Source organism: Homo sapiens, chromosome 6 (assembly GCF_000001405.40).
Source record: "Homo sapiens chromosome 6, GRCh38.p14 Primary Assembly".
Lineage (NCBI taxonomy): Eukaryota > Metazoa > Chordata > Mammalia > Primates > Hominidae > Homo > Homo sapiens.
The window spans coordinates 129,844,042-129,868,168 of record NC_000006.12 but is presented as its reverse complement, the minus strand read 5'-3'; the positions used below and the strand labels follow the sequence as shown (position 1 = coordinate 129,868,168).

Sequence of the window (24,127 nt, the reverse complement as noted above, 5' to 3'; positions counted from 1 at the left end):
TTTAACTTCAAATCATTCTTGTAAGAAGTAAATTCCAATCAGGATACAGAGAATGTGAAATGGCTGGACATTTCTGCCAGCAGCTGCCTTGCCAGAACCAAGGCTGATACAATGAGCTTGAGCCTGCTAAACAAAGCCAGGTTTGCCCCTTAATCGCCTTCCGTGCTCTGGAGTCTCAGGCGAACTCCCCTCCACTGAGTCATCCTTTAAAAAGTTAAGTTCAGGGATCTGAACCTGCCCGTTTGTAAAAAGTGTAAGCTCAGACAGGTCTGAGCCCTTTGGGAACAATGTAGTATCACTTTGTAACCATTATTTCTGAAGGGTTGAGGGGAGCCTTTGTATAAATGGTATAGTCTGCATCTACCTCAATATTTCCAAACATCATTTTGGGGTCATCAAATCACATTACACAGGACTTTAGTTTTCATGCAAAAAAAAAAAAAAAAAAAGAAAAAGGCCAGAATACATCAAGATACTGAACACATTAACAAGTAAATAACAAATACATGTTTATGCATTGGCTTCTAGTTGAAGCAGTCTGGTTGGCATTTTCTCAAGGGAGTTATTTAAATTTTAAATGGAACAACATCTTATTTAGATTTCTACAAATATGCTAGGGCACAGAAGTAATTTATATGTACATGAAACTCTTCACTTAAGCACCTGGGTACTTGACAATAATTAAAATACTAAGTAGACTTATTAACTTTTCCTTTTAAATTTCCATCTTTTTGCATCTTTGCAGAGGGTGAGAAGAAATTTCTAGAGTAGATTGTCAAGTATCTAGTCTTTTTTCCCAGTATCACATAATGCCTGATTGCAATTCCCTCCTGGTTCTCTTTCTGTTGCATCCTTCAAAAGCGATGCTCTGATCTTCCCTTATACACTCATTGTCTATTTTCAGAATGCTTTTATTTCTTAAACTTTCAGTCCCTTTTACTCCCAACTGCCAGAGAATAAACATTCATTTCACTTCAATATGAGCATATAATTAAGGAAACAGTTGATGGAAGGTATCAAAATCATAGAAAGTGCTGTAAGTCAGAAATTTCCACAACAAAATTTCAACAATAGCCTGGGTATAGATAATTCTCATACTTATGTCATTGGCCCAGACTTCCAACCTCATCTTCAACCATCATGAGTTGTCTTAGAGGACATAATTTAAATAAGTGCTTCTCAAAATATGGTACTCAGAAGTGCAAACACTAGGTCCTCCCAAGACCTACTGAATTAGAAACTCTGGTTTGAGGCCCTTCTATCTGCGTTGTAACAACTCCTCCAGGTGATTCTGATGCCCACTGATGTATGAGCTGACCCTGAAAGTTAATGTGTTGAATCCCACAGTTCGCTTTTCATTTCCTGTTTTCATAACCTATTCTTATCAATAGCACTGTAATCCCCTTAATTTGTTGGCATTAAAATCCTGATGTTATTTTTGTTCTTCTTTGTTCCCCCTTCAGTTTCTCATCAAGAAGGCTGTTATTTCCAAGGTGTTCTTAAAAATCTAATTATGCTCAGTTATTCTAGGCCCCAAAATCAAACCTCAAGCCTTTTCAATATGCTAATATATATCCACTTTGTAGTTTCTTCTCCTATATTGCTGTTAAAATAATTTTTCACATCTGCTGATTTTGTCTTTCATGCTGCTGCTCAAGAACAGTGCTGTTTTATTTTGAACCAAAATACAATGCTCCTTTTGTCCTTTGAGGCCTTCACCAATCAACATTCCAATCCTGCATTAGTCTTATTTCTCATTCTCTAGCAAAGCAGATCTCATTGACTTGTTCTCACTTCCTTTGTACTTCGTATTTATCTTATCCAGATGCCCTCTCTCTCCTTCTTTCCACTCTATTTTCTCTTCCTATTGAAGATACAATTCATATTCTTTGAATTAGGGCTCTAACTTTATCTTTCGTATTTATTTTTACTCTGTGATGACTGTATTGAATTGCTCTAACTTGTATATTTCTTTCCCAATATTAATTCAAGTTGATACAATGTATATCTCCAGATATTTTCTATATCCTCTTAAAGATGATCCTTTACTCTGTACTACCTATGATAAGATGCAGCACATGGTCAACTGGCTTAAAAGTAGGTAAAATTAGATACCAAAACTCAAGTGTCCAGATTTGCAGTCATTGGTAACCCTGGTTTAGGTTTATGGGAGGGAGTATGGAAACTACTATCTAATAACAGTTTGGATATTCATAACTAGTCATCCATGCCAACTGTTTTATGATGTTGTGCCATTCATTACCATATAGGGCACTGCTCCTTATTGTGCCTTATCTTTCAAGACACAATTTACTATTCAACAAATATGAAGCAGTGAAATCAGTGTGTGCTCGTGTGTATACATGTATCTTTGCCTTAACATGGGCCTAAACCTAAAGGAAATTCCATAAAGGCTGTAAACAGAAAAAAAAAATTACCCCAATTTTGACCATTATTTTCATGGCTCCCTGAAATAAAATAGAGTCTGTTTGTTCTTAATATTTTTATGATTTCATGATATCCTATAGAATAATTCAATTTCAAAAAGGCAGTGAACAATAGATGTGGATAGAAGGGCCTAAAGGGAAGAAATGGGTTAGAGAGAATCAGTAAAACTAAAAATATAACACCATCAGACTTCCAAAGCAAAGCCAACTATAATGGAGCAGAAGGCATCAGGGGAAATCTCTTATTTCATTCTGGCACTGAGGGCAAAGAAATTTTACTTTTTAATTTCTTGTGGACAAATTGACTTTGTCAACACAGCGTCTTTATTTTTACCACATCATTTAAAATTGTATTTACAGTTTTAAATGAAAAACTTTAGACAAATTAAATTTAGGAGAGTTTATTTGAGGAAAGACTAATTCATGTATTGGGCAGCCCTCAGAACCAGGAGAGGTTCAGAGAGTTCCACCCAACACGGGGAGGCAGTATTAGATAGGAAAAGGAAATGACATACAGAAACAGCTTGATTGGCTACAGCTTAGTATTTGCCTGATATAGACACGCTCTAATTGGTTGGCAGTCTGTGATTGGCCAAAGCTCAGCTGCTGTGATTGGCCGAGGCTCAGCAACTTGTTATAAGAATATGCTCTTAAGTTAGGCTGCAGTTTTTTAATGTGCAGAGGCTGCTTTAGGCCAAATTTAATTTAATTTAGCAAGAGTTCTATTATCAATGCCAATCTGTAGATTCTTATAATTAAATCTGTGTTTGTCCACTACTCCTTTTGTGAATCCAAAAATCTAAAAATCTGTGGAAACTATTTTATTATTTATTATCCTTGGGTGACAGAATAGTACCAGACGTTAATGAATTTGGTGATGAAACCAAATTGACAAAATTATTTAGTTTTTATTCATCCCACTCATGGCAAATATTTATACATTTTGCTGCTCAAACAATGTTTGGATACAGAGGGAAGTTCTAGACTACTTGGACATGGGATATAATATACTATATGGATCCTATTATTTAAATAAAATTCAAAATTTTCTGAAATTAGAAGCCTATCTGGCCCTAACGATTTGCAATTAGTAATTGTGGATCTGAGCTCATTTTCTCCTTTGATTTTATCAAGGAGAAATTCTAAATTATGTGCTACAATCTTGGAAATATTTCTTTAGGACCTTGAAGTTTTTGTGCCTCTATCATGAAGGAAGTAGCTGAGTCCAATTTTAACAAACAAAGGAGAACTCTAGATACAAATTACACAAAGGGACTGAAAATAATTTAAAACATGATGAAATATCAAGGAGAACAATTCAGAACTAAAGAATGTGAAGAGTTTTATGTATTTTATTCTTTATCATAAGTATGTGCTGAATGAATACATGTACACACAATATATATATATACACACACATATACATATAAAATGTACACATGTAAATATTTCATCAGCCTAATGACAGACTTGGAAATCAGAATTGTAGTTGCTAAATGTGTATGTGTATGCCTCATGCCTTATTCTCGCAATAGATCACAGTAGCAGTTCAAAAAATAATGCTTAAATCCAGTGCGGTGTCTCTGATGAAAAAAAAAAAAGATGCTTATTATAGATGTAAATACCCATACACACATAATCTCTACTCATTAGACTATTGGTCATCAAATTTTTTTCCAATGTAATTATAGAAAATTAGTACTTTTCAGTATTTTATCCAATAGAGTGCTGGAGTATTAGTTCCCAATGTATGGTGCCAACTTCCTGAGAGGATAGTTTTTGGGTGGTTATTGTTTACCTGAGTAACTCAGAAGGCATCTGAGTTGTGCACAAAGCAGCCTGTGTTGGGAGTAGAGTGAGTCAGGCACAAATCCTCTGCTTTATGCTGTGCTATGACTCCCAGGAAGTTCCACTTGCCCCCCTTTTTTTTTGAGACGGATTCCCTCATTGTTGCCAGGGCTGGAGTGCAATGGCGCGATCTCGGCTCGCTGCAACCTCTGCCTTCTGGTTTAAACGATTCTCCTGCCTAAGCCTCCTGAGTAGCTGGGATTACAGGTGCCCGCCACCATGCCCAGCTAATTTTTTGTATTTTTAGTAAAGACGGGGTTTCACTATGTTGGCCAGGCTGGTCTCGAAATCCTGACCTTGTGATCCGTCTGCCTCTGACTCCCAAAGTGCGAGGATTACAGGCATGAGCCACCACACCTGGCCTCCGCCTGCCCTCTTTAAGGAGAAATTCTGGGTCATCACTGTTACAAATAGGGCAGGGCATGGGATTTGGACAATCAGCATTTACTGAGGGTCCACCGTGTGCTGAAATCTGAAGACAACACTGGGAGCTGTTACAATGTTACCAGCAGGCAGAAAAGTCTTTTTCTGCAAGAACTCACAATATAAGCAGAGAACAGGGCAACCACACATTAAAAGATTTATCTAAGGTATATTAATAAAAGAGCATTGACAGTGTTATTAATATGCATTATGAATGTCAAATTCAATAACATATTCAGATGAAAACTATCAAGGCCTGGACTTGCTGAAGGCACTCTTTTCACCTTTGCTTTTGGTATGCAGGTAGATATTGCAGAATGTGCTCTTTATAGCGGTTAACAAGATGCTGTAATGGAAAAAGGATTACAGGGCACAGCTAAGTTCCCATCTAAAGTTGGTGCCACAGCAAAGCAATCAATCAACAAAGTGAAGACACCAACCCGCAGAATGGGAAAAAAAATACTCAAACACTACCCATCTGACAAGGGGCTAACAACCAGAATATATAAGGAGCTCAAACAACTGTAGAGGAAAAAATCTAATAATATGATTTAAAAATGATCAAAATATCTGAATAGACATTTCTCAGAACAAGACATACAAATGGCAAACTGGTATGTGAGAAGTGCTCAACATCATCGATCATCAGAGAAAGGCAAATCAAAACTACAAAGAGATATGACTTCACCCCAGTTAAAATGGCTTTTATCCCAAAACAGGCAATAACAAATGCTGGTGAGGATGTGAAGAAAAGGACACCCTCATACACTGCTGGTGGGAATGTAAATTAGTACAGCCACTATGGAGAACAGTTTGGAGGTTCCTCAAAAGAGAAAAATAGGACTGCCATATGATCCAGCAATCCCACTGCTGAGCATATACCCCAAAGAATGGAAATCAGTCTATCGGAGAGGTATCTGCATGCCCATGTATATTGCAGCATGTTTCACAATATCCAAGATTAAGAAACAACCTAAATGTCCATCAACAGACAAGTGGATAAAGAAATGTGGTACAGGTACAGAATAGAATTCAGCCAAAGGAAAGAATGAAATCCTGTCATTTGCAACAATATGGATGGAACTGGAGGTCCTTATGTTAAGTGAAATAAACCAGGCACAGAAAGACAAACTTCATATGTTCCTACTTATTTGTGGGAACTAAAAATGGAAACAATTGAACTCATTGAGATGGAAAGTAAAAGAATGGTTACCAGAAGCTGGGAAGGGTAGTGGGAGAAAAGGGGGAGTGTGGGGATGGTTAATGCATACAAAAAAGAGAGAGAATGTATAAGATCTAGTATTTGATAGCACAACAGAGTGACTATAGTCAATAATAATTTAATTGTACATTTAAAAATAACTAAAAGGGTATAATTGGATTGCTTGTAACACAAAGAATAAATGCTTGAGGTGATGGAAATCCCACTTACCTTGATGTGATCATTACATATTAGATGCCTATATCAAAATATATCATGTACCCCATAAACTCTATGGGGTATATTACTATATTACTATGTAATCACAGCAATTAAAAATTAAAATAAAAATAATAATAGAGTTGGTGCCAGTAAAAAGATGGGAGAATGAATTGTAAATGAAGGATTGGTTCTGGAGCCTCAGGACGCAGAGAGACAGAGCTCCAATACTGCCTCCTGGCAGTTCTTGAAAACATTCTACCCACAATATTGTGGCCATTATTTTAGAGTATGGGAACCCTTTTGTTTCCTAACAAAAAGTCATAAGTTTTACATTTCTTTGCCATGATGTGAAAGGAACTGATGATTTCTTTCTCAGAACTCTGTGGCCCTTGTGAGTGAAACAGAGAGGACAGGCCACGCTTCAACATGAATGCAGCAGCATCCTTTGGAAACAATCTCAAGACCTAACTGAAAACCCATGTTTCTAATTTAAGTATGAGACAGTAATTACTCATACAGCCAGAGAGGATTCCAAGTCCCTGCCTATTTGCCGCACTATCTAAAAACAATCAACTCATCTTTCAAATCTGACCAAACTACAAATGGTATGAGAACTCCATCGTTTAATAAGGATGTTCATTTTGGCACTTAGCAGCTTACGCGTGGCTCACAGATGGCATCTGTCTCGTTTTGCGTAATCCAATCATCCTGCACTACTGCGTCTCACACTTAGTCTCCAGGAGTAATTGAAAAGCTCACGGTGACAATTGTGTCTTCTTCCAGATGTCATCGCTATAAGGAGTGGGGCTTTCATCACCTCCTTGACGTAGGATGTGTACATGGCTCTCCAGGTCAGAGTTGCTCCAAGCAAGGTAAAGAGAAATTACTTCTTTGCATTGCCTTTCAGTTGCTGCCTAGCACTGGTGTAAATGAATATGTTCTATAAATGGCCTCTCTGTCAGTGGGCAACTTGTTTCACTTTTGGCTGGGTACCATACAGAAAACATTCTGCTGCACGGCTTGCATCTTGTGGTAATAGGGCAATATAAAGGCACCCATGCCCAAGAAAGGATTCTAAAACATGTAAATAGTCGCTGTTTAGAAGGCACCATTTTATTCGGAGGTAAGCTCTCTGGTATTAGCACCTGCACGTCTGCTATCGTTTTCTGAAATCATGACAGTTTGTTCTCAATCTTTTTTTCTTTTTTTTTTTTGCAGGGAGTGGCTTTTATTTTTGTAACTTCTAAAGGGTGCGCAAAATTTTAAATGCAAAGTGTTGAAACATTTCAAGCTGTAGGTTTGTTAGTTTCTTTTTCCCCCGAGGCTAGTGTTAATAGTTGTGTTTTACTTCAGTGCAAAAATACCCCTTTAAAAAAAAATCAAACAATCGAAAACAAGGAAATATGCAAAGCCTCAAAGCAGCTGTGTAAATTCATACAGGCTTTAGGCCTATAATGAGCCAGACTTAAGGGAATGATAGTGGAAAATCAGATTTTTACTTAAAAATTAAATTACAATTATGAGTGAGTGCTACATTCATTTTAGTAAAATATCAGCACCGTGTGTATTTCCTCAAGCTTTTTCTTTACACTACCATCATCACCACATATGTCATCAGTGAGAAATGTTGAGCATGACAACAGCTAAGAAAAATTTTCAAGGTCAGTAAAACATTATTTCAGGAAAAATATTTTTAAAAAGCTTATTTTTAAGGGGTTATTAAACTTCGTAATTTATGTATAGATTTGGGATTGAACTAGCAATAATAACTTCTGCTGAAGAGATAAAAATTAGAAGATAAAATCCTTTCTCTTAAGTAGCTTACACAAAGAATGGGGGCTCTATATTTAGTCGGGGCTTACACAGACCAGACAGACAGACACACACACACACACACACACACACACACACACACACACACACGCATTGCAGAGAAAATATCCAGATAGTTGCTGCAGTTCCTCACTATCTTAGAATCATCTGAGCTTCAAGTGTAGAATTAGAGCCTTAGAACATTAGAAGAATAGTGAATATGTTCAAAATAGATAGGTTGTTGACTATCTGAATTCTCATGATACATCCCTATAAGTTATGAGTTAACTTTTCTTTTAAGTGCTTGTTCACTGTCAATATTATCAGCACAAGAATTACTGATATGCTTATAAATTAATAGTAATAGCAAAAGTGACCTTCATCTAGAGATAACTCGAATACTCAACAAACATTTATTGAGTGCATGCAATGTGCCAGGCATTGGGCTAATTAAATCCCCCCTATCTGTACACTTTAAATGACAGAAAAGCTGACTCAAGGGAAAGAGTCATGGCCAAAGGCCATTTAATTAATTTGCTGTCTGGGAAAATAGCACAAGAACTGGGAAGAAAGCCCAAGTATGAGGACTGCTAAACTGTTCAGAATACAATGTATTCTACTCCAGTAGACGGCATGTTTCCTAACTATGTTAAACTAATGTAAACTTTCCTCTGTAAAACAAATGTTGTAAAAATCTCAGAAGCACAACACATTCCTGCATATCCTCAGAGTTGTTCACCTGAACTGGAGAATTTCATTCATTCAGGCAATTTCAGAGGGAACTACTTACCAGTAGGACGGAGCCTTTGCTGTGATTCTACAAGTGAGAGAGTCATATCTCATGATTTCTCCAGGAATTGTCCAAAGAACTACAATGCAGTCTTTCCTATGGGGAGAAGTAAGAGAGAAAGTATTATCTATTGGGAACATACAGTACTTAATGTTAAGAATTGTATACATGTTCAGAATACAAATCCCTTATGAAACTTTACCTGTAGATGAGTAGAACAAAACTCAGAAAGTAACCAGCCAATGTCACACACTTGTCAGTGATGAACTGGGGGAGAAACTCCAGTGGATCTGACTTAGAGTCCACATACTTTATTAATAGACTATGGTTCCGGCCAGGCGTGGTGGCTCATGCCTGTAATCCCAGCACTTTAGGAGGCCAAACCGGACGATCACTTTAGGTCAGGAGTTCGATACCAGCCTGGTAAACATGGTGAAACCCCATCTCTACTAAAAATACAAAAATTAGCTGGGTGTGGTGGTGCACACCTGTAGTCCCAGCTACTCAGGGAGGCTGAGGCAAGAGAATTCCTTGAAGCCGGGAGGCAGAGGTTACAGTGAGCTGAGATTGTGTCACTGTACTCCAGCCTGGGTGACAGAGCAAGACTCTGTTTCAAAAAAAAAAAAGACTATGGTTCCTACTATAGTGGTCTTGTCTTCCATTATTTCTTTCCTTCCTTCCATGATTATTATTCAAAATATATTTATTGAATACCTATGAAAGCCTGACCAATATTTTGGGGGCTGAAGAATTAAATGTGGTCAAATCAGTGTCTGTCTTTTAGAGACTGGAGAAAGAAATGTATACCTCCAAAAGTAGGTATGCTACAATACAAATTTGATGAGATCTATAAGACAAATATAATATTATGGAAGCAATTAAAATAAGATAGAGATTGATTCTGTCCTGCAGTGAGGGGTGGAGTGAGAAGATGATATATGAGCCAGACCTAGAGAATATAGCTACTTGCTCTGTAAAGAAGAGTGAAGCTACTGTAGGCAATGGGAACATTCTGCTTTGCAAAATCACACAAGGGCTTCCAGTTTCCATAGACTAAATGGAGAAGGCTATTACAGAAGGACTAGGCCTAGATTTCACAAAAGAATTCTCCTAAGTCTTCAAAGATCATATACTCCCAATGCTACTTAAATCATTTGAGTATAGAAAAACAAGAAAAGCCACAAGAAAGTTTTATGAAACAAGAAATATGTTGTCACCTAAACCATATAAATATAGTACAAAAAATAAACTATAGATCAATCTCACTTATGAATACAGAAAAATCTAAACATATTAGCAAACAGAACCCAAGAACTCGTCATAAAAATAAAACATCATGACCAAGTGACATTTATTCCAAAAATGTACGGATGGTTCAATATTAGGTAATCTACTAACATAATTTAGATGTTCATATATCTAAGCAGAAAATCATATGACCATCTTCACTCATCTTCATAGACGCTAAAACTGCCTTTGACAAAAATTGGCAACCGTTCCTGAACCACTCCTGATTTAAAATACTGAATAAAATAAGAACTAATGATTTTGTCTGATCAGATATATATATATACATATATATGTACATATATATACACATATATATATGTGTGTATATATATATATAAAAAACCACACATACACACACACATTACAATCCTAAAGCTGGTGTATTACTTAATGGAGAATACTAGAGGCATTTACAGAAAGGCCAAGAACAAGGCAAGAATGTCCACTAACTCCACTACTATCTAAACATATGTTAGGGTTGGGTGCAGTGTCTCATGCCTATTATCCCAACACTTTGGGAGGCCAAGGCGGGTGGATCACCTGAGGTCAGGAGTTCCAGAACAGCCTGGCCAACATGACAAAACCCCCTCTCTACTAAAAATACAAAAAATTAGCCAGGCGTGGTGGTGGCATGTGCCTGTAATCCCAGCTACTTGGGAGGCTGAGGCAGGAGAATTGCTTAAACCCAGGAGACGGAGGTTGTGGTGAGCTGAGATCTCACCATTGCACTCCAGTCTGGGTGACAGAGCGAGACTCCATCTCAAAAAAAATAATTTATATATGTATATATATATGTGTGTGTGTGTGTGTGTGTGTGTATACACACATATAAAATATATATGTTAGAGATACTATTCCATTCAATCAGATCAGAATAAACAAAAGAGTCATGAGAATTAAAATAGAAGTAAAACTATCTCTATTTACAGGTGATATTGTAGTGTATCTGGAAAATCCAAAACAATCAATGAAAATACTAACACAAACAATTTTAAAAATTAGTAAGGTAATAGACTATTAAAATACAAAAATCAGAAGCCTTTCTACACACAAACAATAGCTAGTTAGATAATGTAATGGAAGAGGAAACTTCAGTTGTATTAGTAGCAAAAAGAATTTATTTAATCATAAGCTTAACAGGAAGTGTGTAAAATCTATATGATTAACACTTCTGTTAATCATATATTAACACTATATGATTAAAAAATTAACATACTCCTGAAAGATACAAAAGTGGACTTGAATAAGTTTGGAAATTTTTCTCATTTTTGAATGGTACTCATAAACATAATAAAGCTATCATTTATTCCCATCTTAATAAGTTTGGCATAATCTCAATAAAAATAACAAAGTTGTTTTTATGGAGCTAGTCAAGTAGATTTTGAAGTTTATATGAAAAAATAAAAATAGCTATGAGAACCTTAAAGAAAAGAAAAAGGAGAGATGACTAGCCTTACTAGATATTTTTAAAGCAGCTTTATTGAGGAATAAATTAATATACAAAAAGTGCACTTATTTAATATTTACAAGTTTATACATTTGAACATTTGCAACACCTGTGAAACCATCACTGTAATTAAGATAGACTTATTTATCACCTCCACAAGTTTCCTAGTAAACATTATAAAGTTTCCTTGTGTTTCTTTGATAGTTTCCTGTGTGTGCATGCATGTGTGCTAAGAATACTTAATGCAAGCTCTATCCTTTTAACAAATGCCTGCCAGATATTAAAACATACTATAAAGCTTCTATAATTAAAACAGTGTGGTATTGATTCATGAGTAGATAGCTCAATGGAAGCAAATAGAAAGCTCACAAATAGACAAAAGTGTATATGAAAATGTAGTAATGAAAAAGACAGTATCCCATTGGAATGTCATAAAGCAAGGAAGTACAAAAATGATGGGGATATGTAAAAAGAACACAGGCAGTATCTGGTAGGTGCTCAAATTGGTCAAACTTGGGATAATTTGAGCATCAACAGGAATCATGATGTTAATTAATTATGGCACTCAGAAAATAAAAAAGACCATAGGTTATAAAAAATAAATGAATAAATAATAAATACATAAATTAATAGGTAAGTTCAAGGGTAAGAAAGGAAATCTCTTTATGGAAGAATATCTACTGAAATGTAGAAGAAAAAATAAATAATAAAACCATCAGTTTACAATACCAATGTAAATAATTGATTCAGATGAGATATGTTAATGAATGGCTAAAAAATTTTGGGGGAACAGGATATTTATATAGTCTCAAGTGTCACCCCACAGATTACTTATTAATTACAAACGATGAACAGTGCAATGAAAATAGATCTAGTAGATATCACCTTTACCAAGTGATCAAACTGACCATCAGTAATAATGAAAGTCATATTATGCATCTTCTCATAAGATACAATGGGAAATGCACAATATTACCTTTGTAGAGTTCTTCTCCGAAGAATCTGATCATGAGGAAACCATCAGACAAATTCAGAGTAGGTTACTAAAGAGCCATGACAACCAAATGTAACATGTGAAAATATGATTGATTCTAGAATTCTCAGATTTTGAGAACAATAGAGGAAATCTGAATATAAACTCTATGTCAATGATATTTTATATCCGTGTAGGATTTATTGTGTGTAGTAATAGTTTTGAATTATAGGAGAATGTCGTTGTTCCTGCCTGTGAGAATTTGGGGAAAATACTTACTAAGTTCTTTGGAAATTTTGTCTTCACTTTCTGTCATTGAGAAATAAAAGTGTTATAATGTCACATTAGCTTGACACTATACCCCGTCATCTTTAGCAAGGCTGTCTAGAACGGTGTGCATTTCATTCACCAGAACAAGTAATTCATTTTTAAAAAAAGAAAAACTATCTTCGCTAACTTGATAGAACAATAGTGTCTATGAAGTTTGGGTATGTGTTTCTTTATTGTTAGTGAAGTAAAAGATTATATTTGCTCGTTTTAATTGGAAATTTGTCTCTTGCCCATTTTGCTCAGGAACCCAGACCTGTGGCTGTCCCATGTGGAAATCCTGCCTGAGGGGAAATACTAGGACAGGCCTAGGTTTCTGTTTGTCACCTAGACCAGTTCCTATATCCCCAGTAGCTATTTGCATTGTAATCACCTGAGAGGTTTCTTAAAATGCAGTTACCAGGGTTAAGAATAATAACCTTTGTGAACCACTTAAAGGCCATGTATGTGAGCAGATATTGAATATGAAGAGTATGGACCATTATGATTGTTCCTAAGAGCCTAGATCTTCATGAAACCTAGCTTATCCCTTTTCTTTGAGGTAGTTTTGCAATTACTTTTAGCAATTATGGATGCTCCTTGACTTACAGTGGGATTATGTCCCAATAAACCTGTTGTAAATTTGAAACATTGTTAAATTGAACCATGGTAAGTCAGGGACCAGCTGTAATCAGAACCACAAAGCTTACTTTCTGACCAGGATTCAATACATTTTATATACAATTGTACCTCTTTCAGTGACTAGCTTTGTGAAAATCACTTAATTTCTCTGGGCCTCTGTTTTTTCATCTGTAAGAGGTGACTAACCCACATGTTTATTTGGATGAGTGAGCTCATCTAGACAAGTACACAGTAAAGAGTCATATAACTGTTGGGTATACTTGCTTGTTCTAATTATTTTCTGTGTGATTATTTTGTCTCTTCTTACCTCTTCCTTTTTATCCCCAGGAAGTCTGAAACAGTTTTGGGCAGAATGTCAACACTTGATAATTATCTCCTGATTGGTGACTCTCTCACTGTGCAGCAAAGATTGCTTTTATCTGGGGTACTGTTCAGTGTGGCCTGGACTCTGACCAATCATAACTGATTCTCCTTTAATAACCAGAATGTCCGGTAGGGCCAGCCTTCTATTAATTCTAAAACTGTAATGAATCATCCAACAACTTATATTCTTTGAATACCTACTGTGTGCCAGGAACCACACCAGACACTACACATATATTAGGGAGCCAAATGGACACATCTCTTCCTCCCAGTCCCTTCTTAAATAAAATGAGGTAAGTAGCATAGAAAAAGTAGACCTTGTATCTTTTAGCAATTACTTGCAGAACCATAAAACGATATCTAGAAGACATCCCACTAGGGTGTTGTTAAATGCGACAACAAGAAAAACTCAAGAGCTGAATGAAGAGAGGTGGCTTTCAACTCCAGGAGAGTGGAATGAACCTGAGCTTTCCCGTTTTGAATTATGCCCCGTCAAGCCAGTGTAGAAATTGGCAAGTTAGTTAAGTGAGTTACACTGCTGAAGTACTCAGGCTCCACTTAAGCTCTGAATCCTTAGGGATGCCACGTGCACATGCTCATATTCTATCCAGGTTCCAGCCTAGCCCTAGCAAAGATAGTGCTCATGCTTTTGGGAGATTCTAAAAGCGCAAATCAGTAGCACTTTCCTCTATCCTTTTTTACACAGGTATAGTCTTTTCTTAATTTCAACTTATTAAAACTGCTTTATTTTTTAGGGCAGTGGAAGGAAGGCTGGTATCAAAATATTTTGATCAAAAAAGATGACAAAGATGTAAAGATCAGTTGTAGCAGACCGTTTTCTGAAAGCAACTTGGAAAAACATTCATTACATCATAAATGTGCACAATTTGCAGACTGGTGCACATTTATTTCACTTTCAGAATAGGAGTGTAAAAAAAAAAGGTGGAAGCTTTTTAATGAAGAAATTGCATTTATAATGATATGTGTTTGAATATTATACGGAGAAAGAGAGTGTTAGGGAGCATACAGTAGAGAATAAGAAGTCAGGGGAACTTCTTGGAGGAAGTGAGGTATCAGTTTAGACCTGAAAAGATGAGTGGGAGTTAGTTTTCCAAAGAGAGGAGCCGTTAATTCTACACAGGGGGAACAGCATTGAATTTTTCCAGAAATAGGAAGTACTTAAGTATGGCTGGAGCACCAAAGAGGAGAGTGAACACAAAGGAAATAACAGGACCCACGGGTGATCTTATATACACAAGATAATATATTGTGAGATGTTCTTGTGTTTTCCTTTTCTACCAGTTCCTCCATTGGAGGTGATGTGCCAGATAATTAGATTTGGTATAGTAGGAAAGCAATGAAGAGGAACATTCAATGCTGTGGGTGCTCATTTGTTTTTTCAACTTCCAAAATGAGCTCCATCAATAGACTGGAAAGAGAATCCCAGAGAGAGCTTGAATACCCTCTGCAGGGATCTACCTGAGGAGCACCAGGTCTTGAGGGAGAAAAGAGGGAGATGGTGAGGAGGTGGCTGGGGGAGAGGCTGAGACTGGATTGCAAGTTTTGGGGCACGTATGGAGAAGAGCTGGAGAAGTCAGGAGAAGATTACCTAGAATGGTTTGTGGCTGGCACCAGGGAGCTAAAAGGAAGGTGAGGCGCTGGTTGCAGGCAAACCCCCAGTAGAACCCTGTTAACCTGCTGCTAATGGGGGAAGGTGTGTTTCTCCTTGCCAGTAGGCATAGCTACCTGCCTCTTCATTGCCCTTGTACAGTCCAGCAGAACAACACATCCTCTGGTCCCTAGGACTTTGCTGAGTCCAAGGACTTGCTCAGTGATCCTCTTCTCTTCATGCGAGCCCCATCTCAATGGGCCAGAGTACTTGTAAACCCCCTGAAACTATGTCCTTGACCCCAGAGGAACAAAGAAGGCGAAGTGCCAGCTTCTGTGCTCCAATGATAAAGATGAATCATACTTCCTGTCTGGCAGTGTTGTTGTGAGGATTAAAGGAGATAAGGTTTGCAAAGTGGCTTGCTTGGCGTCTTGCACATACAGGTATTAAGCAAAGCTTACCCCTTACCACATCCCCTAGGGATGTTCCTCAAAATTGTATTAATCAAAGCATGCTTTAAAAGTTTGTGAAGATGCTCACCGGTTGAATAAATTTATTTTTTAAAAAAAATTATTACCAAAAAAGTAAACATATGCAAATTTAAATAAAATGGTATAATGAATCCCATTCATCCCTCACTTAGCTTCAAAATTATCAACTATTCAATCTTGTTTCATCTTCATTTCCAGCTATTCTCTTACCTTTTTATTTTGAAGCTAACCCAAACATTATATTATTTCAACTGCAAATATGTCCTTATGCATCTTTAAAGATAAGGACTTAACAAAAACCACCATACCATTATCTTACCTTAAAAACCTAACAATAATTTTTTAACATTATTAAATATCCAGTCAAGTTTAAATAGCCAAATGTCCCATAAATGTCATGATTTTTTACAGTTTATTTGATTCAGGATCCAAATATATTTAAAAACGTAATAAAAAGTTTGGCAGTAGCCAAATATCTAGACTGCTACAAATTCTGAGTCTCACATATTGGCTTTTCCTAGAGTGCAGCAATAATATTGTATCATAATAAAATAATGTTCCCTCATTTGGACAGCATTATTAAGTGCTTTTACTTTGTTAATTCAATATAATTATTTTCCTATTCTCGACTTGGCCACTAAATAAAGGTGTGTCCTTGGGCTATTCACTCAACTTGTCTGAGTCACAGTTTTCATACTTTTAAAAAGAGAGTGTTGAACTAAAATTGATTATTCAGGCCAGGCGCAGTGACTCATGACTGTAATCCCAGCACTTTGGGAGGCTAAGGCGGGCAGATCACTTGAAGTCAGGAGTTTGAGACCACCCTGGCCAACATGGTGAAACCCCGTCTCTACTAAAAATACAAAAAATTTGCTGGGCATGGTGGCAGACACCTGTAACCCCAGCTTCTTGGGAGGTTGAGGCAGGAGAATTGCTTGAGCCTGGGAGGTGGAGGTTGCAGTGAGCCAAGATCAAACCATGGCACTCCAGCCCAGGCGACAAAGCAAGACTCCATCTCAAAATAAATAAATAAAGATTATTCAGCATGCTTTCATTGTGAACTTCTGGGTGGGAGGCGAGGCAGGACAGCACAGGGTTGAGAGGAAACATCCAGCAGATCTGGTCTGGAGCCCTGCCACATATAGGCCACATGAGCTGGGATTAGTTCCTTAATCTCTCTTTGTCTCAGTTTCCAAGTCTGTGAAATGCAAATGAAAGACAACCAAACCCAGAAAGTTTTTCCTGCAAGCATATAGTGGTGAGGTACAGGGAAGGGTGAATACAATGAGAAAATATGAGTACAGTGATGGTCACATAGGAATCCTTCAATAAAGAGTCAATATAGTTAGACTATCAACAGGGGCAGGGGATGAGAAGATGAGGCTGGAGGACGGGCAGAGGTGAGAACTGTCTTGTCCACCGTGGCAGCCACTGGCCACACATGGCCATTTAGCATTTGAAATGTAGCTAGTCTGAATTGAGATGTCTTGTAAATAAATTACCTTTTGTACTTCTAAGACGTAGTATGAACAAACAACATAAAACATCTCTATTTTTAATGATTCATTTATGTCAAAATCTTAATATGTTGGATATATTGTGTTAAATAAATATTAGAATTAATTTTACTCTTTCAAAATTTTTATAAATGTGGCTATTAAAAAATTTTAAATTACATATGTGGCTTGCATTGTGTTTCTGCTGGACAGCACTGGGCTAGATCATCAATTGCAAATTCCAATCATTTAGAACTGATCCTGCTCCTCTTATTGTCCATCTAGTTGATAAAATTGGGTTGGAAAATTGGGAGATAGAGTCAACAGTTTCCTCTCCCTTAACCCCCCACAAGTTATCCATTCTGTTTTCTTAATAGTTCACATACCTGTCCTCCTCTCCATTTCCATTGCAAATCCATTTAAATACTTTCCCGACCTAATGGCCCCTCTCTAGTCTATAATACTCCTTAAATCTTTCAGTCTCCCCAGGGCCTTCAGAGACATGCAAAATTCCTCATTAAGGCATAAATTTCCCTTCACGTCTGACTTCAGCTCTTTAAACCTCTCCTACCAAAACCCCTCTCCATCAAGGTTTGGCTTCACCTAGGTCTTTGCAAGTGCTTCTTGTGCCTATGGCAACCCCTGCCACTGCCTCAGCTCATCATAAGTAGCATAAGGGTTGAGTCGGAGCAGGGCTTGAGTCTCAGCTCCACAATTTATTGTTAAATGTTCAGAAAGTTACAAGACCTCTCTGAGCCTCATTTTCCTTCTCTCTAAAAAAGGATTCTACCACTCAGAAGTTTTATAAGGATTAAATGAGGTAATGCAGATGCGATGCCTTAACTCAAGAAAACCTAAAATAAGTGTTGTCAAGGATTTTCTGGGGAATGTTCATGCCCCCTTCACACACGTGCACGGAGGCACACATACACACACACATAACCCACCCATTCTCTGCTGGCGTCTCGCTTGGGCTTACATAGCACTCTGTACCCTCCTCAATAATACCTCTTCTCCTTGCATTGCAGCCATTTCTTGACTCATTCTTGCCTCCAGATCAGTAGTTCTCAAAGTGTGGTAATAGGTACAGCTGACTCAGCATCAGCTGGGAACTTGTTATGAACACAAATTCCTGGAGCCTGTCCCAGAATTACCAAATCAGAAACACTGGGACTGGGGCCCTGCAATCTGTGTTTTAACAGGAACTTAATGTGAGTCTGATGCTTGTACATTTGAGAACAACAGCTCAACTGCATCCTACGGCTTGGACCACATCCAATTTACCTTGCATTGCCACCCTGCCCAGTAACTATCTGTCAAATGAAAAAAATGGAGGAATAAATCCTGATAATGATGTGAGGGCCTAAAAAGACATCAAGCAGAGGAAGTGATGGTCTGATTGCTTTTTAGAAAATTGTTATGTTCCATAGGCTCTGTAGGGTGTAGATTCGAGGAAGAAAATACTAAAAGCAAATGAATTTGCTTATGAGAAAAGTATTATTTGAAAATCTAGATTTATAATTCAGGTAGAAAAATTGTTTACAAAAATTATGCCTTGCTTTTCCAAATATTTCCTACAAATGATTTTTAAATATATTATTTTGATATTATATTTATATTTAGTGTTATATAAATTTGTCAGAAAAAGTAAGTGTATCTCTATGTAAAGTTTGTCAACAAATATATTGTCTCGCAAATTATAATTTAATTAAAAAATGGTTCCAAATGTCTTACACAGATTTACTATTTGTAGGTTTTCTGGGTTTGTAGTACAATCCTCATGTTTGGATTATACAAGGAAAATTTTATAGTAAGTGAATGTATTAAAAAATTAAAATGTTATTTGAAGTTTAATACTAACAGAGATAAGAAAAGTTTAATGGTTGAAAATACATACTAATATAGAGACTATGTATTATTCATCTTATTTTGGATTGAAATGAAAGCAATCATCTAGAAATATCTAGAGGCTATTAATGTTCAAATTAAAAGAAAAACTAATTGATTTCAATACATGGTAGGAAGAATAAAGCAAACCCAAAGACACATGACTCTTAAAAAAATTATAGTGCTGAAGAAGCTCCAAGATGCTCCCTATTACATACCCATCTCCCAGCAGCAAATTCTCATCCCAGCAATTGGGGAAGATTTGAACCAGTTGATGTATGCGCACAATGTTTGGGCCTTCAACTCAGGCAACACCTCTACATTTTTTTTTTGATCTTTGAAGACTCTTCTCTACAAAATGAGGGCTTTTAGCTATTTCCAGATTGATTCCTTCCAAGTGGAACACGTAGTTTCCTGCCCCAACTCCTTCTTCCCTGCTAATAGAACTCCAATTTTTCTTTTATTGAGGCAGTAGGTGCCTGTCCCCGGAAGCGCAGTCATGATGTCATAAACCTGACATGTTAAAACCCTTTTACTCTTTACCTGTGATTGTTCAGTAATGGGCACGTGGCCCTGTGGCGGACAATGAGACATAATGGGAAGTCTGTTTGCGGCTTCTGGAAGGATTTTTATTCTCTGATAAAAGACAGCTGTGGGAAGAATGTCTCTTTTGCACACATCCTTTTATTCCTTTTTAAAAATCATGTTGTGTCAGCTATCATGGAACCACAAGCTATGCAAGTCTTAGGGAGAGAATGAGGAGCATGGACAGGAGGGGACCAAGGGTTGAGGAAAGAGAGACTGAAGGTCATAAGGGAGGAGAGATTAAGAGACAAGGAATGTGAAGGCCAGGTGCGGAGTGGCTCATGCCTGTAATCCCCGCACTTTCTGAGGCTGACGCAGGCGGATCACCTGAGGTTGGGAGTTTGAGACCAGCCTGACCAACATGGATAAACCCCGACTCTACTAAAAATACAAAATTAGCTGGGCTTGGTGGTGCATGCCTGTAATCCCAGCTACCAGGGAGGCTGAGGAAGGAGAATCGCTTGAACCCGGGAGACCGAGTTTGCAGTGAGCCGAGATCATGCCATTGCACTCCAGCCTGGGCAACAAAAGCAAAACTCTGTCTCAAAAAAAAAAAAAAAAGAAAAAAGAAAAAAGAAACAAGGAATGTGAGATCCTGAGAGTGAACTGGGGATGAGAATCAGGGCAGAGAGAGATGAGACTTGGTGAGCAGGGCTAGGGGTGGACATAGGCAAAGAGTAGAGGGTGTTGAGGATGGTGTGGGAGCAAGGGATGGGGGAAGATCCTGAAGGTCCCAGAACCTTGGAGTCCTGTTTTCTCATGGCCCTCTTAGGCCTCACATCCCACCCATTTAAAAATAGTTGGAAGAAGCAGGTTCTTGGTAGATCTGTAAATTTGGTCCATTCAGCCAATTCGTTGTGGTATACTCTCTGCTAACTACCTTCTCCTCTTGCCTCTAGCTGTGGACTCCTTCTGTACCTAGGCAAGTGAAAATATGTGGTCAGTTTGGTGAATTGGTCATTCAAGTAAAATTAATAATAATCCTAAGGTGTTGGAGTGTGGGCTAAGCAAAAATGGCTTTAAGATTCTAAAATACAAGAATAAACTGAGTAAACTGAGCATTTCTCATGTGAAATGCTGGGACCTTTATTATAGTCATAAGGATATCTTTGAAAAGGTTAACAGTGAAGTGTGGCACATTTTTTATTTTTATTGGCTCTTTAGGTGTTTCTTCATGTGAATTGCCTATTTACATACTTTGTCCATTTTTCTATTGGTTTGTCTTTTTCTAACATTTGTGTGAGTTTATATATTACAGATATCAATCCTTTTCCTGTGATATATATTACAAATATTTTCTCCCAACCTATTCCATGGCATTTAAGCCTTTAATCCCCTTGAAATTTATTGTGGTGTCTGGTACAAGACTGGAATCTAATGGGATTTTTTTGTTTAGAAGTTAGACTATTTTCACAGCACCATTTGTCAAATAATCTTTCTGATTCTCATTAATCTGCAGTGCTTCTTTCTTAGGTCTCAGCTGTGGAAGAGTACATTTCAGGGCCATCTATTGTGTTTTACCAAATTGCTCTGTAAATTCTTGCATAGAGGTTTAATTATTGTGCTATTATGTGGGTTTTTTGTTAATATTATTTGGAATTTACCTGTTCTCATCTTTCTATAGGTTGGTGCAAAAGTAACTGTGGTTCTTGCCATTATTATTATAATTGGCAAGATTATATTATTATCACAGCTGAGGTTTAGAATCATTTTGTCAAGTTAAAATACAAATATTGGCATTTAGGAAGTTTGTTCCAGTGAATGGAGGGTAAGAGATATGGATTTGTATATTGCATTAATTCTTGGTGCAAATGTGTAAGATGGTAACCTCTTCAGGCAGCAACACTTTTTTAATATGTAGTGTTTTACACATTTGTCAGGAAAAGTAAGTGTATCTCTATATAAAATTTGTCAACAAATATATTGTCTCACAAATTATAATTTAATTAAAAAGATAGTTCCAAATGTCTTACACAGATTTACTATTTGTAGGTTTTCTGGGTATGTATTACAATCCTCATGTTTGGATTATACAAGGAAAATTTTATAGTAAGTGAATGTATTAAAAAATTAAAATGTTATTTGAAGTTTAATATTAACAGAAATAAGAAAAGTTTAATGGTTGAAAATACATACTAATATAGAGACTATGTATTATTCATCTTATTTTGGATTGAAATGAAAGCAATCATCTAGAAATATCTAGAGGCTATTAATGCTCAAATTAAAAGAAAAACTAATTGATTTCAATACATGGTAGGAAGAATAAACCAAACCCAAAGACACATGACTCTTAAGAAAATTATACCGCTAAAGAAGCTCCAAGATGGGCACTTTGAAGTCATTCCCATTCCATGGGTCCTTAAGCAATACAAGGCTAGCCAACACTATCTAGTAATCATTCATCATCTTTTGTCAAAATAGTTACCAAAGACCATGTGAAAAATCCCAGGCTCTTGGACCTCATGCCTGTTTTCTCCACAGGTTGTTTTGCAGAAGTTTCTTCTATGTGTCATTCTTTTCTACACTGTGTACTATGTGTCCCTGAGCATGGGCTGCGTGATGTTTGAGTAAGTAGCACATTGTCTTCAAATAGAATTAAAAAGCTAACATTGAATAGGAAAGATGTTTATATTTAACATTTCATATGTCTTTATGGATTAGAGGATGTGGATTTTTTTAAAGACATAGTTTCTTACTTTTATTTATTTTTTATTTTTGGTAGAGACAAGGTCTTGCTATGTTGCCTAGGCTGGTCTTGAATCCCTGGCCTTGAATGATCCTCCTGCCTTGGTCTCCCAAAATGCTAGGATTACAGGCATGAGCCCCTGCATCCAGCCTACTTTCATTATTTAAGTAAAAATAGGCAAATGTTCTATCTGAAAATGATAAAAGTAACAATCATGAAATGAAGTGGATAGAATCACTTAGGACTGTTTCTCTTACCTCTTCAGAGGATGCTCATGGAAAGAAAGCGAACCCATTACTCCCTGGTCTGGTATTGAATCAGAGAAGGTTTGAACAAGAAAGGAGCTTAAAGATCATCCACATCCAATTTAAATAATTTCTGTTATATTGGAAATAGCTTTTGGGAGGCAAGAGACCTACATTCTGACCCAAGTTCTTACTAACTTTCTGAATCATCTTGACCAAACGACAGTGTATCTCCTATTTCAATGCCTTCATTTGTCAAATGGAATCATCCAAAAAAGAGTTATTATGAGGACAAAATGGGATAATACGTGTATTTTAATGGTATCATTTTTATGTAAGTGTAAAACATTATTTTTCAGGTAATTTTTTGTCTTGCTATGGTTGAATTTTGTCTCTACAGATTTTGGCTGCCAATATATTGGTTGCCTTGAGATACATTATGTATATTTACAAATGATTTCTTAGAAATTGAGTGCTTACACAATTTAATTTTATTGTGCAAGCAAGGAATTCTATTTCAATATGCGAATTAATACCAATATGCAACTATCAAAAAATAATGATACCAATGTTTGCAATGGAAAGAATGTTATTCAGCATGCTTGCAGGCAAGCCCACGGAGGAAGTATCTGGCGCTCACGTGCAGCCTCAGCCTCCTCCCTGGGACTGGAGACAGTGAGGCTATGCCTGGGGAAAGGAGAAGGCAAGACTCTCTAGGATTCTCTGAGCACCGGATTTTAAGGGTTTGTAGTTAACATGAGTCAGAGGTGAGGAATTTGAAGTAATTAGACCTTAAAGCTTCAGGAGGCAGCTAACTGGTTGGCCAGCTGCACACGACTACAAACTTGGGTATAATATAAAGTCCAGCTGTATGCTTTAATAGACTCAGATTTTAGAACAGGAAGGGAACTCAGAGATTAATCTCTTCAATTTATAGGTAGGAAATTTGAGCCCAGAGAGGTTAGGTGACTTGCCCAAGTGCACGGTTATAGCACCACCAGGATTAGAACCTGTATCTTGTTGTTTTTCAAGCCTGCGCTGTCTCCATGGTATTACGTTCTCCTTCTACGTTTGATGGCAGGAACTATCAAGATTCTAGCTGAGACATCAAATAAAATTAAGTCCACTTGGTGGACAAAGTGGAACTTAATTGGACAAAGATGACAAGGTGGACAAAATGTTATTTGGCTGTCATCCAAGTCAGCCAGTTTTTAAAAACTCTTTTTAGCTCACTTCACTTTTTTCTGCTTAGCAGGTTTTTTTAATACAAATGGTATCATATAATAGGTGTCATTTTGTAACTTTTTTCAACATTACATTTCAAAAATATATCCATGATGAGATGTATTTAGCATTTAATT

At 37.0% G+C, this 24,127-nt stretch overlaps 1 protein-coding gene and 1 long non-coding RNA gene across 2 annotated transcripts in view, besides 1 other annotated feature; one reads left to right on the top strand and one right to left on the bottom strand.

The window, feature by feature from the left end:
- Window positions 1–12,541, bottom strand: part of LOC105377999 (uncharacterized) — a 92,281-nt gene extending 79,740 nt beyond the window's left edge. Inside the window, exons 1-2 of the long non-coding RNA XR_942986.3 lie at window positions 12,457–12,541; window positions 8,744–8,839 (exon numbers count right to left, since the gene is read on the bottom strand). This is a non-coding gene — a long non-coding RNA (uncharacterized LOC105377999). The remainder of the gene's footprint in view (window positions 1–8,743; window positions 8,840–12,456) is intronic.
- Window positions 4,251–4,545: a silencer, noted in NCBI's record as "tiled region #9310; K562 Repressive non-DNase unmatched - State 23:Low". NCBI's record gives its function as "represses a minimal TATA promoter and a strong SV40 promoter by Sharpr-MPRA in K562 cells {active_cell/tissue: K562}" and the evidence as "EXISTENCE:reporter gene assay evidence [ECO:0000049][PMID:27701403]".
- Window positions 6,854–24,127, top strand: part of TMEM244 (transmembrane protein 244) — a 30,072-nt gene continuing 12,798 nt past the window's right edge. Inside the window, exons 1-2 of the mRNA NM_001010876.2 lie at window positions 6,854–7,013; window positions 22,317–22,402. Coding sequence (NP_001010876.1) covers window positions 6,981–7,013; window positions 22,317–22,402 — 119 coding nt within the window. The 5' untranslated portion in view covers window positions 6,854–6,980. The remainder of the gene's footprint in view (window positions 7,014–22,316; window positions 22,403–24,127) is intronic.